At 42.5% G+C, this 15,714-nt stretch overlaps 1 protein-coding gene across 2 annotated transcripts in view, besides 1 other annotated feature; it reads left to right on the top strand.

Moving 5' to 3' along the window:
• GRB2 (growth factor receptor bound protein 2) overlaps positions 1 to 15,714 on the top strand; it is an 87,603-nt gene that overhangs the window by 23,699 nt on the left and 48,190 nt on the right. The gene's annotated exons all lie outside the window — the stretch shown is intronic.
• Positions 745 to 1,591: an enhancer, noted in NCBI's record as "OCT4-NANOG-H3K4me1 hESC enhancer chr17:73376470-73377316 (GRCh37/hg19 assembly coordinates)". NCBI's record gives its function as "activates a minimal SCP1, AML or CMV promoter by ChIP-STARR-seq in naive H9 embryonic stem cells {active_cell/tissue: H9 hESC(naive)}" and the evidence as "EXISTENCE:reporter gene assay evidence [ECO:0000049][PMID:30033119]".

Raw genomic sequence — 15,714 nt, 5'->3', positions numbered from 1 at the left:
GTGCTGGGATTACAGGAACCCAGGACTTTTAAAATCTAGGTTTAACAAAATGGCAAAAGCCCTTGGTAACATTTTTCTTTTGAAAAATGCAAGAGCTTTTAGTTTAGTTATAAAGTGAGAAAAAATGTATTTTGGACCCTGAAACTGTAGGATTCACTGAGAACAAGAAAGGGGTATGTGTTTTTGGGAAGTGTTGATCATTTCATGTCATTATTTCATATATCTTTATTTTCTTTTTTTTTTTCTTTTTTTTTTTTTTGAGACGGAGTCTTGCACCATCACCCAGGCTGGAGTGCAGTGGCGTGATCTCAGCTCATTGCAACCTCTGCCTCCCGGGTTCAAGCAATTCTCCTGCCTCAGCCTCCTGAGTAGCTGGGATTACAGGTGCCCGCCACCATGCCTGGCTAATTTTTTTTTTATTTTTAGTAGAGACGAGGGTTTCACTATGTTGGCCAGGCTGGTCTCGAACTCCTGACCTCATGATCTGCCCGCCTCAGCCTCTCAAAGTGCTGGGATGAGCCACTGTACCCAGCCGTATCTTTATTTTCATACATAACTATGAAAAGGAGTTTGAAAAGGAATGCTGGGGAAAAAGAATAGATTATTTTATTAGCAGTATTTCCACTTCACTGTAACATTTAAATTACTTTAGCTTACATTAATAGATAGGAAAGTCAATAAGTCCCTCTATTCCAGTATTTTTACTATTTCAGATCTCTCTTAAGCATTGTCATTATGTATACATTTTTATAATCCTGTAATTGTAGTGAATTTAAAATGTTACCATTTTCCATATTAGTTTTACTAATTATTTTCAGTGGTTGTATAACATATCAAGTTAATGTTCTGTAATTGACTTAATTATTTCCCTATTGCTGTATATTTCACTTGTTTCTGTTAATAATTTAGTTCGTAATCTCAAGGGAGGTTTTGATATATGTATTGTCCTATTGTCTGAATGGCTGAACAAATGGTTACCTACTTAAGATGACCTTAAGTGAGAATGGCCCATAATCCCTAACCAGAATACATAATAATAGCACAGCTAATGTTTGCTTCATTCTCTAGTCTCCTTTAACAATAGAACATTATTTCAAAGTTTGACAGTGTTTTATAGGACTATGTTAACCAGATTTCTGAGATGATTAAACATCCTTCCCTCAGCATGTAAGATGCTTGACACAGTTTTTCCGCCGCACATTTTATTTTGTGCTATTTTTTAAGTGGTTAATTTCCTTTTTTTATAGCTTTGTCAGGTTAAATTAATAAGTGATTATGATAGAGAAATATGGCATGTATTCATAATTTAATTTGTCTTTGAGCTAAATGAATATTTTCTAGAGGAAGACCATCCATCTTAACTCATGCTTGGAACAAGATGGGAAGACAGACAAACCAGTCTTTGTTTAGTTTATGCTGCAAATGTTTAGCTTTAAGCCAGGAGGCTCTGCTGAGAGCTTTTGAGAAACAAGTATTGTAACTTAATGAAACATCCTTACTCACATATACTGCAATATAAAGAAAAAAGAAGAGTGTGATGTTGGGTAACAGTTGGTTTTCTCTGGATGTAGGGATTATGGAGAACTTTAACTTTCTATATGGTGCATTTCTATAATAGTTTTTTTTTTTTTTTACTACAAGCTATTAGTTTTGTAATCAGAAAAAGCAGTAAAAAACAAAAACACTACAGTAGTTTTCCAGATGTCAGTTTGCAGGTCAACAAATATTTTAGGGCCGTCTTGCTGTCTAATAAGGAAAGAAAAAATCACTGTGCACAGCTTCATGGAGCAAATTTGTTTCCTATTAAAACTCTTCTTGGTGTAGGCAGTACATCATCTTCCACCTGTATAAGGCTATTACATAGAAATTTTGTAGAATCTAATAAGATAAACTAGAAACATGACATGTTCAGCTGTTTTCTCTACGAATAAACAAATTGGCGCTAAAACTGGTCTTGCTATCTAGATTTCTAGTTATATCTCAGTTATCTTTTCCCCACATGGGATGTGAAAGTAATGTTATATGCTTTCTTATGTACGTACTTTTGACTTAGGTCAGTCTCCACACTGCATTAAAATTACTAATGAGACAAATTGCAGTTTTCCAGAGGTTCATGTTTCCATTTCTCCTTCCTTGGCTTTCCTGCATTTTTAGCTCCAGTCAAAATTCTATTTATTATGTATCAACTTTTATAAAATGCTTGGCTTTGAAAAGTATAATTAAAAGACAAAGATCTGAAATTAATAGTGGGTTTTTAGCTATCTATCATGCATTAAGAAATCAAGTGACCAGGTGTGGTGGCCTGTAATCCTAGCACTTTGGGAGGCTGAAGTGGGAGGACCACTTGAGCTCAGGAGTTCAAGACCAGCCTGGGCAACATAGCAAGACCCTGTCTCTACTAAAAATAAAAAAAATTAACCAGGTGTGGTGGTGCATGCCTGTAGTTCCAGCTACTTGGGACGCTAAGGTGGGAAGACTGCTTGAGCCCAGGAGGTGGAGACTACAATGAGCTATGTTTGCCCCACTGTACTCCAGCCTGGGTGACAGTGTGTGACCCTGTCTTTCTTTTTTTTTTTTTTAAGAAATCAAGTGTCTTCTTTATTTAATTCTTTTAAAATTTTTATTAGAATCATTTAATAGAAAAAGCATAAAATAAATTAGGTCATAATTCCCTCCTGATGCCCAGATAACAATTTTGAAATTAAATAAGCAAATAAATAAATGTCTCACTCATCATTAGAAAATTTATATGACAAACCTTCCCAAAGAAAATCACTATTCAGGTTTTCTATAACCTTTCAGAAAAAACGTTTAATGCATATAGCCATAGTTACTTTTATTGCAGTTCCTGGGTACCATAAAACATAACAATGAAACCATATTCAAAATTTTATAATGAAAGTAAGCAGGTACTTCATCTTTGGAGAGAAGAATGGCATTTCTGTTAAAGTGTACCTCTTTAGAAAGTGGCAGTAGCTCAGAGGATTTCTGTGCCAGGCTCTTAGAAAAGATACAATGATTAAGACTTTTCTCAAAATCATATTAAAGCTAATCAGAATAGATTGTGAACCGAAATTTGTGTGAATTTTCCAAAACATTGTGCTGAAGTAGTCCACGTCATATATCCCAGTGAATTTGTAACTAATGGCCTCATTTAATGCTAGAAGTGAGAACTGGTAGACCGTACAAGCCTTCCCTTAATTAATTGGTTCGTCTCCTTCTATACTTAGGTTACCAGTACAGAAGAACTAATACTGTAGTTGTTCGTAAACTTGGAGAAAGTCACACTGTATCTGCTCAGAGGCCTGTCCAATCTGCCATGTTTAAGCTTGTACTAGAACTACACCCACCTGAACAGTTGTTACCTTTAAAGTTCTTAGTAGTAATTTTCATATTTAGCTATGAGTTTGTTAGTGTTGTACGTTCATGTGTGAAATTTCTATATGTTTTTCTCTCACTTCATCCCTTCCCTGTTAGATATTAAAGGCCTGGCAAAAAGGACATGCCTCTCACCCGCATATCCTCAGGTGACCACATGAAAAATTATTCTTGTGTAACTTGCTTTTGGGTTTGGGTGTTTGTTTGTTTGTTTGTTTTTTGAGACAGTCTCACTCTGTTGCCCAGGCTGAAATGCGGTGGCGAGATCTCAGCTCACTACAACCTCCGCCCTCCTGTGATTCTCCTGCCTCAGCCTCCCAAGTAGCTAGGATTACAGCTGCCCACCACCACGCTCAGCTCATTTTTGTATTTTTAGTAGAGACGGTGTTTCACCATGTTGGTCAGGCTGGTCTCGAACTCCTGACTGCAGGTGATCCTCCCCCCCACCTCGGCCTCCCAAAGTGCTGGAATTACAGGCGTGAGCCACTGCACCTGGCCTGGGTTTGGGATTTATATTGTCAACTGAAACTAAGACTATTGAGGCAGAAATGATTTCATAAAGGTTTATTGGAAGGCCTGGCAAATGAGAATCGACCTGGGAAGACACACCAGCAGACTTGGGGGTTGTTCTGAAGTCTGTCACAAGGTGAAAGATGTTTTTGTTTTGCTGTTTGTTTCTTCGTGGGTTGTTTTCTTTTTTAGAGTCTTACTCTCTTGCCCAGGCTAGAGTGTAGTGTCATGATCTTGGCTCACTGCAACCTCTGCCTCCCGGGTTCAAGCAGTTCTACCACCTCAGCCTCCCTAGTAGCTGGGACTACAGGCGTGTGCCACCATACCCGGCTAATTTTTGTACTTTTAGTAGAGACAGGGTTTTGCCATGTTGGCCAGGCTGGTCTCTAACTCTTGACCTGAAGTGATCCACCTGCCTCAGCCTCCCAAAGTACTGGGATTACAGGCGTGAACTACCACACCCAGCCTTTTTTTTTTTTTTTTTTTTTTTTTTTCTGAGACAGGGTCTCGCTCTGTTGCCTGGGCTGGAGTGCAGCCTCAACTTCCTAGGCTCAAGCACTTCATCCACTTCAGCCTCCCGAGTAGCTGGGACAGCAGGTGAGCACCACCATGCCCAGCTAACTTTTTGTATTTTGTAGAAACAAGATCCCGCCATGTTGCCCAGGCTGATCTCGAACTCATGGCCTCAAGCAGTCCTCCTGCCTTGACCTCCCAAAGTGTTGGGATTACAGGCATGAACCACTCTGCCTGGCCACTTTTTGTTTGCAATAAACATGGGGTCTCATTCTGTCACCCCAGGCTGGAGTACGGTGGCCCCACCATAGTTCATTGCAGCCTCGAACTCCTGGGCTCAAGTGATCATCTCACCTCAGTCTCCTCAGTAGCTGGGACTACAGATGCGCACCACCACACCCTGTATTATATTTAAAAATGTAACTTTTAATATTTTTTTTTTGTAGCGGGGGGTCACTATGTTGCCCAGGCTGGTCTCGAGTGATCCTCCCATCTCAGCCTCCCAAGTAGCTCGGATTATAGATGTGAGTCACTGGGCCCAGCTATGAAGGTCTGTCTTTATGTTTTTGAGACAGGGTCTGGCTCTCTTACCCAGGCTGGAGTGCAGAGGTACAATCATGGCTCAGTACAGCCCCAACATTCCAGGCTCAGTTGATCCTCCCACCCTAGTCTCTGGAACTACAGGTATCCACCACCATGCCCAACTAGTTTTTGTTTGTTTGTTTGTTTTGTTTTGTTTTGTAGGGATGGAGTCTCATTATGTTGCCCAGGCTTGTCTCAAACTTCTGGGATTAAGGGATCCTCTCACCTTGGCCTCCCAAAGTGCTGGGATTACAGATTACAGGTGTAAGCCACCTTGCCTGGCCTGTGAAAGGTTTTTAGGAAAGTTTAAAAGAAGGAAGGGTACTCCTCCTCATACCAGAGTTGTCTTTTCATTGGATGGTACAATATGTAAGTTATAATCGTTGGTTACAAATTATGTTATACAGGCTAAAAATGTCTATGTGCAAGACAATCAGTAGAAGTTCATGCTTCACTAATCTTTTTTTTTTTTTTTTGAAACAGAGTCTCCCTCTGTTGCCCAGGCTGAAATGCAGCAGTGCAGTCTCAGCTCACTGCAGCCTCCACCTCCCGCATTCAAGAGATTTTCTTGCCTCAGCCTCCTGAGTAGCTGGGATTACAGGAGCATGCCACCAGGTCGGGTTAAAAAATTTTTTTTTTTTTTTTTTTTTTTGAGACAGAGTCTCTGTCTGTCACCCAGGCTGGAGTGCAGTGGCACAATCTCGGCTCACTGCAACGTCTGCCTCCCAGGTTCAAGCAATTCTCCTGCCTCAGCCTCCCAAGTAGCTGGGACTATATAGGCGCATGCCGACACGCCTGGCTGATTTCTTGTATTTCAATAGAGATGGGGTTTAACCGTGTTGCCTAGGCTGGTCTCAAACTCCTGAGCTCAGCCAATCCGCCTGCCTTGGCCTCCCAAAGTGCTGGGATTACAGGCGTGAGCCACTGCGCTCATGCAGGCCCCGGTAATTTTTTTTTTTTTTTTTTTTTTCTGAGACGGAGTCTTGCTCTGTCGCCCAGGCTGGAGTGCAGTGGCGCAATCTTGGCTCACTGCAACCTCTGCCTCCTGGGTTCACGCCATTCTCCTGCCTCAGCCTCCCGAGTAGCTGGGACTACAGGCGCCCACCACCACGCCCGGCTAAATTTTTGTATTTTTAGTAGATACAGGGTTTCACCGTGTTAGCCAGGATGGTCTCGATCTCCTGACCTCGTGATCCACCTGCCTCTGCCTCCCAAAGTGTTGGGATTACAGGCTTGAGCCACTGCGCCCGGCCAGTCCCCAGTACTTTTTGTATATTTGTAGAGACGAGGTTTCACCATATTTGCCAAGATGGTCTCAAACTCCTAGCCTCAGTTAATCTGCCTGCCTCGGCCTCCCAAAGTGTTGGGATTACAGGTGTGAGCCACTGTGCCCGGCTGATTTCTATTTTCATTGTAGTTGTAGAACATACTTTGTATGATTTTAATACTTTCAGATTTATTGGGGCTTGTTTTATGGCCTACCATCTGGTTTGTCCTGAGAATGTTCTCCTGTGCGCTTGAGATAGATTTTTATTCTGCTGTTGTTGGGTAGAGTCTTCTATAGATGTTGTTAGATCTATTGGTTAATTACTTTCTCTCTTTTTTTTTTCCTGAAGATTGTGTTCAAATGGATTTAACTACCATGAAATTCATCATAATTCATAATCAGCAATTACAGGAAAGAATAATGTGAGCTTTTGTGGATTTGTATCCAGTTGAGAACATGAAAGATCAGCCATAGAATGTGATGTGATGATTGGCATAAGAAGTATAGTGATAGAATTATGTAGATCAGGCTAGCTGGCTCACATCTGTATTCCCAGCACTTTGGGAGGCTGAGGCAGGAATAGCCCTTAAAGCCAGCAGTTTGAGACCAGCCTGGGCAACACAGTGAGACCCCCCCGTCTACAAAAAAAAAACCAAAAATGTTTAAATTAGCCAATCGTGGTGGCACACATCTGCAGTCCCAGCTACTCAGGAGGCTCAGGCAGGAGGATGACTTGAGTTCAGGAGTTTGAGGATGCAGTGAGCCATGATCTCGCTACTGTACTATAAACCTGAGCGACTGAATGAGACCCCTTATCTCAAGAAAAAGAAACAGAATTATTTAAATGCATGAATCTGAATGCCGTGCAGAGAGTATATGCCATATAGAGTTATATGAGAATGTCATGATAGTAGTAGCTTTTTTTTTCTTCTTTTCTTGAGACAGAGTCTTGTTCTGTTGGCCAGGTTGGGAGTGCAGTGGCGTGATTGATCATGGCTCATTGCAGCCTCAATCTCCTGGGCTCCAGCGATCTTCCCACATCAGCTTCCCGAGTAGCTGGGACTACAGGCATGTGCCACCACACTCGGCTAGAGTGTGTGTGTTTGTGTGTGTGTGTGTGTGTGACTACAGGCATGTGCCACCACACTCGGCTAGTGTGTGTGTGTGTCAATAGGATTTTTCCATGTTGCCAGGCTAATCTCAAACTCCTGAGCTAAAGTGATCCACCCACCTTGGCCTCCCAAAATGCTGGGATTACAGGTGTCAGCTACTGTGCCCAGCCAAATGTAGCATTTTGAGGAATTCTTTTTTTTTTTTTTTTTTTTTGATATGGAGTCTTACTCTGTCTCCCAGGCTGGGGTGCAGTGGTGCGATCTCAGCTCACTGCAACCTCCGCCTCCCGGGTTCCAGCGATTCTCTTGCCTCAGCCTCCTGACTAGCTGGAATTATAGGCGCCCGCCACTACGTCTGGCTAATTTTTGTATTTTTAGTAGAGACGGTTTAACCATAATGGCCAGGCTGGTCTCAAACTCCTGACCTCAGATGATCCGCCTGCCTCGGCCTCCCAAAGTGCTAGGATTACAAGCATGAGCCTCTGCGCCTGGCCTTGATAAATTCTTAAGAATATCAGTACCTGGCAGGGCACGGTGGCTCACTCCTGTAATCCCAGCACTTTGGGAGGCTGAGGTGGGCGGATCGTGAGGTCAGGAGATTGAGACCATCCTGGCTAACACGGTGAAACCCTGTCTCTACTAAAAATGCAAAAAAAATTAGCCGGGCATGGTGGCGGGCGCCTGTAGTCCCAGCTACTCGGGAGGCTGAGGCAGGAGAATGGCATGAGCCTGGGAAGCGGAGCTTGCAGTGAGCCGAGATTGTGCCTGGGCGATAGAGCGAGACTCTGTCTCAAAAAAAAAAAAAAAAAAAAAAAAAAATACCAGTACCTTGATGAATTATAGCAACAAATTATTGAGTATCTCCTAAGCAAAGGGTACTGTGTTTAGTGCTAAGGTTGATACTAAGCAGAATTAAAGATGTGAAATTTAATAAATACCCTGTTTTAAGAGCTTTGCTAAAGATGTGTATGGAATGTTCTGAATGAAACAGACTTAGTAAGACATGAGTGTTGAAAAGTTTTCTCAGTTAATTTAGCAGCACTCAGGACTGCTTTGTCCATGCAGATACGGCTGACTTACTGGGGACTTTTGTTTCTAACATTAGCCAAGCTTACTGTCAACTCTGAAGAGATGTTGGAGTTGTCCTAGAACACTTAAACTTGGAAGTTAAATTGTCTTTCAATGTGTTTGGCAGAGTTATAAAAGTAGACATGAGCCATATTGATAGCGGCACGGCATATGAAGAGCTTCAGAATACTTATGACACTTCTTTGACGTTCTGTGAAAGGCTATAGATAAGTACCTCCAAACATCATGCCTCCAGCCTCACTCTTGCTTAAGGAAATACTCTGAAAGTAGATTTTCTTTCTTTTTTGAGACAGTCTCTCTGTCTCCCAGGCTGGAGTGCAGTGGCATGATCTTGGTTCACTGCAGCCTCCACCTCCTGGGTTCAACCGATTCTCCTTCTTCAGCCTCCCGAGTAGCTGGGATTACAGGTGCCCACCACCACGCCTGGCTAATTTTTGTTCTTTTAGTAGAGACGGGGATTTGGTTGTGCCATGTTGGCCAGGCTGGTCTCAAACTCCTGACCGCAAGTGATCCGCCCACCTCGGCCTCCCAAAGTGCTGGGATTACGGGCATGAGTTACTGCGCCCAGCCAAATATCTGTTCTTTTAGCTCTTTGATAGTTCCTTTGTAGTGACAAATTATTTTTTAAAAGCTTATAAATTGGTGTTTCTGTGGAAGATGTTATTTCTCATCGAATGCGTATTGATAGTGTTTTAAGTTTAGACCACAAAGTATTTGTCTTCCATGTGCCTGATATTTACATAGTACTCTAAGCTGCACTGTTGAGTACTGTAGCATCTAGCTTATATGGCTATTTAAATTTATATTAGGCTAAAAATTCACCAGTGCAGCCATATTTCAAGTTTTCAGTGGCTGTGAGTGGCCAATGGCTCTGTTGTATTGGACAGTACAGATATAGGACATATGCAGAAATTATCATTGGACAACCCTGCTGTAGAATGTCACCAGTGTTTCTGGAATCACTGTTTTCGTGCTTGAAGTATTTTGTGCTCCACTTTGAAATGCTAGGAAATCGTGTCTTCCCTTCACATTGTAAACTCTTGGTGATTATTGTGGTCTTTGGAGGTGAAGCCCTTGGGCAGAATTGGGATGGGAGTGGAAAGTAAACTGCTTTGCTGTGGACTAGAAGTAGAATTGGGATGAGGTGTTCCCGTTCTCATGAGTCCCTTCCCTGTCTGCACTGTTCCCTTTCCTTGTGAACCTTTATTTCCCAAACCCCTTCTTCACCTTTTCCACCTCCAGCCTGTGCAGAGGCAGATAGATACTGGGGACCTGTTGTACTTTGTTCTGCATCTTCACTAGTGGAAATAAGAGTTCTCTTAGGCTCACTGCTCGGGGGTGGCCTGTAAGATGTTCTTGAGTCTAGTGCTTTCTCTTTTAATTTGGGTGCCTTGTGTCATTGGATGTGTAATGTGGTCTCGAGCTAAATGTGCAGACAGCAGCATCTGAGACATATCCAGAGAGCAGAGGCAGCATTTCTTTGAATTCAGCAAAACCATAATTATTGTGTTTTCTTTTCAGAACTGTGTTTTACGCAAATAATCTTCGGCAAAGTCTTACTCTTATTGTAGATACTCATTTTAATTCTGTGTGTTAACTTGCACCACAGTTTTGCATAATTTACTATCCTCCTCCAGAAAGCTCTACAGTGTTCCATTGGTCAACGCTTTTGCCAGTAATGTCAGAAATAATGGGTTGGGTGATCTTACTTTCTATATTTAAACAAAATTTTGTCAATTTTCAGTTAGTTGCTTGTTTTCCCTGACCACTGGGCTATCTCGTATTTCTGGTCTTCAGTCATGTTGTTCCTTTTGTGTGGTGTAACCTTTAGCATTTACGTGCCTTGGCCACCTCTCGTTGCTTAGAACAGACCCAATCTCCAGAAGGTTTTCTGGGTGTTCTTCTTTTCCCTCGGGTTCCCCTTTGCTGCCCCGAGCACCATTGTGTACCTCTTGCCACAGTGTGCTTTTGTTACTCCATTTCACAGTAGGTTCCTCTATCAGCATCTTGCACAGTTGCCTAGCAACATAGTTTAATGTGTTGGAGGCAAGAAGGGAGGAAATTCACACCATGTTCATCCTACTCAGTGTGAACTGAGTCTATAGTTGATATCCTCTTTGTGTCACTCAATGTTGTCCTGCCTGAGTTCAGGCTTGGTTCTTACGTTGCGGCAGCTCTTTTGCCTTTATTTAGGCAACAGACCAGAAATAGAAACCCTTGAATTTTTTTTTTTTTATTCCTTTATTTTCCTTGCCAGCACCTTGGTTAGATTTCTTAACTACTTTTTTCTTGAGTCTTTGTAAAGTATAATTACACTTTACTGTGCTTACGATCTAAAGAATACTTAATCAGTGTTATTTTTTATTTTTATGTTTTATTTTTGTATTGATTAGGTCTTGCCATGTTGCCCAGACTGGTCTCGGACTCCTGGACTCAAGCAGTCCTCCCACCTTGGCCTCCCAAAGTGCTGGGATTACAGGCATGGGCCACCACACTTGGCCTCACTTTTATTTCTTAAAGTCACTGCCCAATAAACATTCCAAGTTTCCACTAGTTTTTGTTTTTGGACATTTGTTCCATCCAACATCGTGGTGGCATTATATTTTAGTAGATTGTCCAAACATGGGTAAGAAAGATCAACTATGAAAGGAGGTGTCGAACACATTGGCTTTCCCACCTGAATTTGTTCTTTATTCTTTGGATGTATAAAAAACAAGAATAAAACTCACAGGGAGAGTTTGAAGGAACTGTGAAGATTCGTTCTAATTTACATAGTTTACACAACCCATAGCCCTAGGGAAAGTGCCAAAGAACAGCTTTGCAGAGGACTGAAGTCCTCCTGGGAAGAAGAGTCCCTTCGCATCAGATGGCTCTCTTGAGTTTACTTTGCTGCTAAAAAAGTGAGCTGGATTGAGGGGAAGGTTTTCTATTTTTCAAGCTTTGCCAGAACACTTGGCTTAACAAACAGCTGTTTGAAGTCTTAATTGTGTCTCTGTATTTCCAGGGACGCGTTCTGACCTCTTATTAGCAACACAGCTAGGGCTGGCTGGCATGCTTTGTGGTGCCAAACATAGCTGTACCAGCCTGGAAGGTATCCAAACCGAACAAGATATTGAAGTCAGAAGGAACAAGTGGTACAAATTCTCTCTTAGTCAGAGTTTGGAAAGCCTTCGTATTGAAATTCATGCGGACAGATTTGACACACTTCTGAAAATTTTTTTCATCAACTGACATTTCAGTTCTTCCAGGCCTGGAATAGTGGGTTTCAGTCAACAAGGCACCAATATCTTTTTAAATTTGCCCATAGTAGCCAGCTTTTGGGGTGTATGAATATTAGTGGCAGCCTTGGAGCTTGAACGTTGCATCAATGACCTCTGTTAACAGCTAACCATATGATATCCACAAAATAATGAATTTACATTTCTCATGGGCCCTGGCTTTAGCCATTACCTCGAGAGTCAGTCTGAGCATCACTTTTAAGCATTCATTCATTGAGTGTCCCTGTCTCTTAGTACTGTGATGGTCCATGTTTTGAGTAAGTAATGCCATCCTTCAAGCAAAGGAACATATATATGCTTTGAGTTGTTTTTCTGGTAGTGGTAGGTACATTTGCATCAGAGTCAGTAAGTTCTTAAATACCATCAGCCATAGTCAAAAACAGTTTTTTTTTTTTGAGACGGAGTCTCTGTTGCCCAGGCTGGAGTGCAGTGGCACGATCTTGGCTCACTGCAGCCTCTGCCTCTCTGGTTCAAGCAATTATCCTGTCTCGGCCTCCTGAGTAGCTGGGGACTACAGGCATGCACCCCCACACCCGGCTAATTTTTTTTTTTTTTTTTTTGGTGGAGACGGTTTCACCATGTTGCCCAGACTGGTCTTGAACCCCTGACCTCAAGTGATCAGCCCGCCTCGGCCTCCCAAAGTGCTGGGATTACAGGTGTAAGCTACTGCGCCTGGCCCAGAAACAGTTTTTAACCAGTGCAACTCATACCCATCCATCCAGAGTCCTTGTCTCAGTCTCACATTCTGATCTAACAGCTGAGCTCAGAGCAGCAAAGGAATAAATGGGAGTTTTTCTCAATATAAGGTTGACTATGCCTTCTTATATTTTGCCTTCTTAAATTTTCATATCTTTGGCTCATGGACTGTGGTGTAAAGAAACCTTCAATTTTCCTATAACATTGTGCTGCTACTCCTGTTCCAGCTTAAAATCATTTAAATACGTTACTTTTGATATGTCGCATTGTGAACTCCTAGGTTAGGAATGTCTAGGGGTAAGTTGATGCAAAATGAGGATAATCATTAATTATTAAATTTCTAAGATGTTCTTTTTATATACCAAAGCTGTGTTTTAGAAGGATGACTTTGAGTAGTGTGGATTGAAGTAGGGGAGAGGCCAGATACAGAGGACCTAGGCTGGAGCCAGCTTATCTGGGTTCAAACTTTGGCTGTGCCATTTGCCATGATCATGATGTTGGGCAAGTTTTGTTCTTTTTTTAAACTTCTTTGTGTCACAATTTCCTCACTGGAAAAATGGGGATAATAATGGTCCTTGACTCATTAGATATTGTGAGGATTAAACTAACTGAAATATGGAAGCACTTAAAACAGCAAGTATATGAGAAGCAGTTTTGTTTCAGGCAAGCTGATGGAGTATGTTAGTGGAAATGGAAAAGAGTCATATTTATCTGGGTGCAGTGGCTCACACCTATAATCCCAGCACTTTGGGAGACCGAGGCAGGAGAATCATTTGAGCCGAGTTCAAGACCAGCCTGGGCAACACAGTGAGACTCCGTTTCTACAAAATAAAAATAAAAAAATGAGCCGGGCATGGTTGCATGTGCCCGTAGTCCCTGCTACTCAGGAGGCTTAGGTGGGAGGATCTGGGAGGATCATTTGAGCCGGGAGGTTGAGACTGCAGTGAGCTATGATCTCACCACTGCACTCCAGCCTGAGTAACAGAGCAAGATCCTATCTTTAAAAAAAAAAACAACAAAAAAAAAAACAAACGCCTGACGCAGTGGGTCACGCCTATAATCCCAGCACTTTGGAGGCTGAGGCGGATGGATCACGAGGTCAAGAGTTTGAGATCAGCCTGGCCAAGCTGGTGAAACCCCATCTCTGCTTAGAACACTCACACAAACAAAAATTAGCTGAGCACGGTGGGGGGCGCCTGTAATCCCACCTACTCAGGAGGCTGAGGCAGGATAATCGCTTGACCATGGGAGGCGGAGTTTGCAGTGAGCCAAGATCGCATCACTGCACTCTAGCCTGGGTGACAGAGTGAGAGACTCTGTCTCAAAAAAAAAAAAAAAACAGCTGAGCACAGTGCCTCTTATCTTTAATCCCAGCACTTTGGGAGGCCAAGGCGAGTGGATCACTTGAGGTCAGGGGTTCGAGACCAGCCTGGCCAACATGGCAAAACTCCGTCTCTACAAAAAGTACAAAAATTAGCCAGGCGTGGTGGCGAGTGCCTGTAATCCCAGCTGCTCCAGAGGCTGAGGCATGAGAATCGTTTGAACCTGGGAGGCTGAGGCATGAGAATCGCTTGAACTTGGGAGGCAGGGGTTGCAGTGAGCCGACATCGTGCCACTGCACTCCAGCCTCAGTTACAGAGTGAGACTCCATCTCAAAAAAAAAACCAAAACAACGAAAAAAATCTAAAGAGTATTTTAAGAGAAGAAATAACAGGATTTAATGATTAGATGAGACATTCTGTTTAGCCAGAGGATTCCAGGGCTTTGAGGCCGAGGAAATATTGGTGTCATTAACAGAAATGAGTAAATTAGGAATTATCTAATTGGAGAAAGGAAGATACTGAATGCTAAAACCATAGGAAAAAGTTTGACTAAAAGTACTGTGGATAGTTTAGAATCTTTGCCCACTGCTGTATCAAGTAAAGAATAAAGGGCTGAACTCATTTCTCACAAGGTAACTTCTTTATGCATATTTCCCAGCAAGAAGCAGCCTTAACCTTGAGAAACATGAGTCACTTCTGAGGCTTTACTGCTCTAGGCAGTTTCTACCTCATGATCTCCCTTAAAAAGAGGGTAACGGCCCAGCTCAGTGGCTCATGCCTCTAATCCCACCACTTTGGGAGGCTGAGATGGGAGGATCACTTGAGCCCAGGAGTTCAAGACCAGCCTGAGCAACACAGCAAAACTCTTACCTCTACAAAAAGTTTTTTTAAAAAATTAGCTGGGTGTGGTGGTGCACACCTGTAGTCTCAACTACTCCAGAGGCTGAGGTGGGAGGATCGCTTCAGTCTGGGAGGTCGCGGCTGCAGTGAGCCATAATCACGCTACAGCACTTTAGCCTGGGTGACAGAGTAAGACCCTGTCCTGAATAGGGGGAAAAAAAGAGCAGTGGGTCTGATTATAACCTTTGTGACAACACTAGATCCCATTACCATAGACTTTCTGAATTGGTTATAGTAAGCCTTAATTTTATTTGTGCCTCGTAAGAATAGTGTGGCCCTATAAATGATAGATTTGAGTGAGAATTCCCACATCTAAATTGTAAGACCCTCATGTACTGAAGCCTCACGTATTTTTCCTTTTTTTTCTTTTTTGAGTTTTTGTTAGTATATATCACAGGAAATTTTACCTGGGAACCTTAAGCTTATTGGTGATCTAGTTATTAGAGATTTAAGAAGTATTTTTCGTTTTCATTGGCTTATTTCAGGGAAAAAAAATTTGTTGGATTACTTTCTTGTTTTTTGAGCCAGGGTCTCACTCTGACACCCAGGCTGGAGTGCAGTGATGGGATCATGGCTCACTGCAACCTCCACCTCCTGGGCTCAGAGGTGATCCTCCCACGTCAGCCTCCCAAGTAGCTGAAACTACAGGCATGCACTACCACACCCGGCTAATTTTTGTTTGTTTTTTTGTGGAGATGGGGTTTTGCCATGTTGCCCAGGTGCCCAGGCTGGCTTTGAATTCCTGGGCTCAAGTGATCCGCCCGCCTCAGCCTCCCAAAGTGCTGAGATTACAGTGTGAGCCACGGCAGCTGGCCGTTTTTTTTTTTTTTTTGGAAGCTGATCTCAAACTCCTGTGTTCAAGGGTTCAAATGATTGCCTGTGCCAGCCTCCCAAAGTGCTGGGATTACAGGTGTGAACCACTATTCCTGTCCTGGGCATTTTAAAAGTAGAGACCATACTGTATATAACTTGCCTTTTAGAAAAATAAACATTTTCCCATTGTGTTAAGCCACTGTTATTTGCAGTTAACAGAATGTGTTATACTAGCCTACACAGTCGAGTTATGT

Source organism: Homo sapiens, chromosome 17 (assembly GCF_000001405.40).
Source record: "Homo sapiens chromosome 17, GRCh38.p14 Primary Assembly".
Taxonomy (NCBI): domain Eukaryota; kingdom Metazoa; phylum Chordata; class Mammalia; order Primates; family Hominidae; genus Homo; species Homo sapiens.
This window is presented reverse-complemented; position numbering and strand designations above follow the sequence as displayed.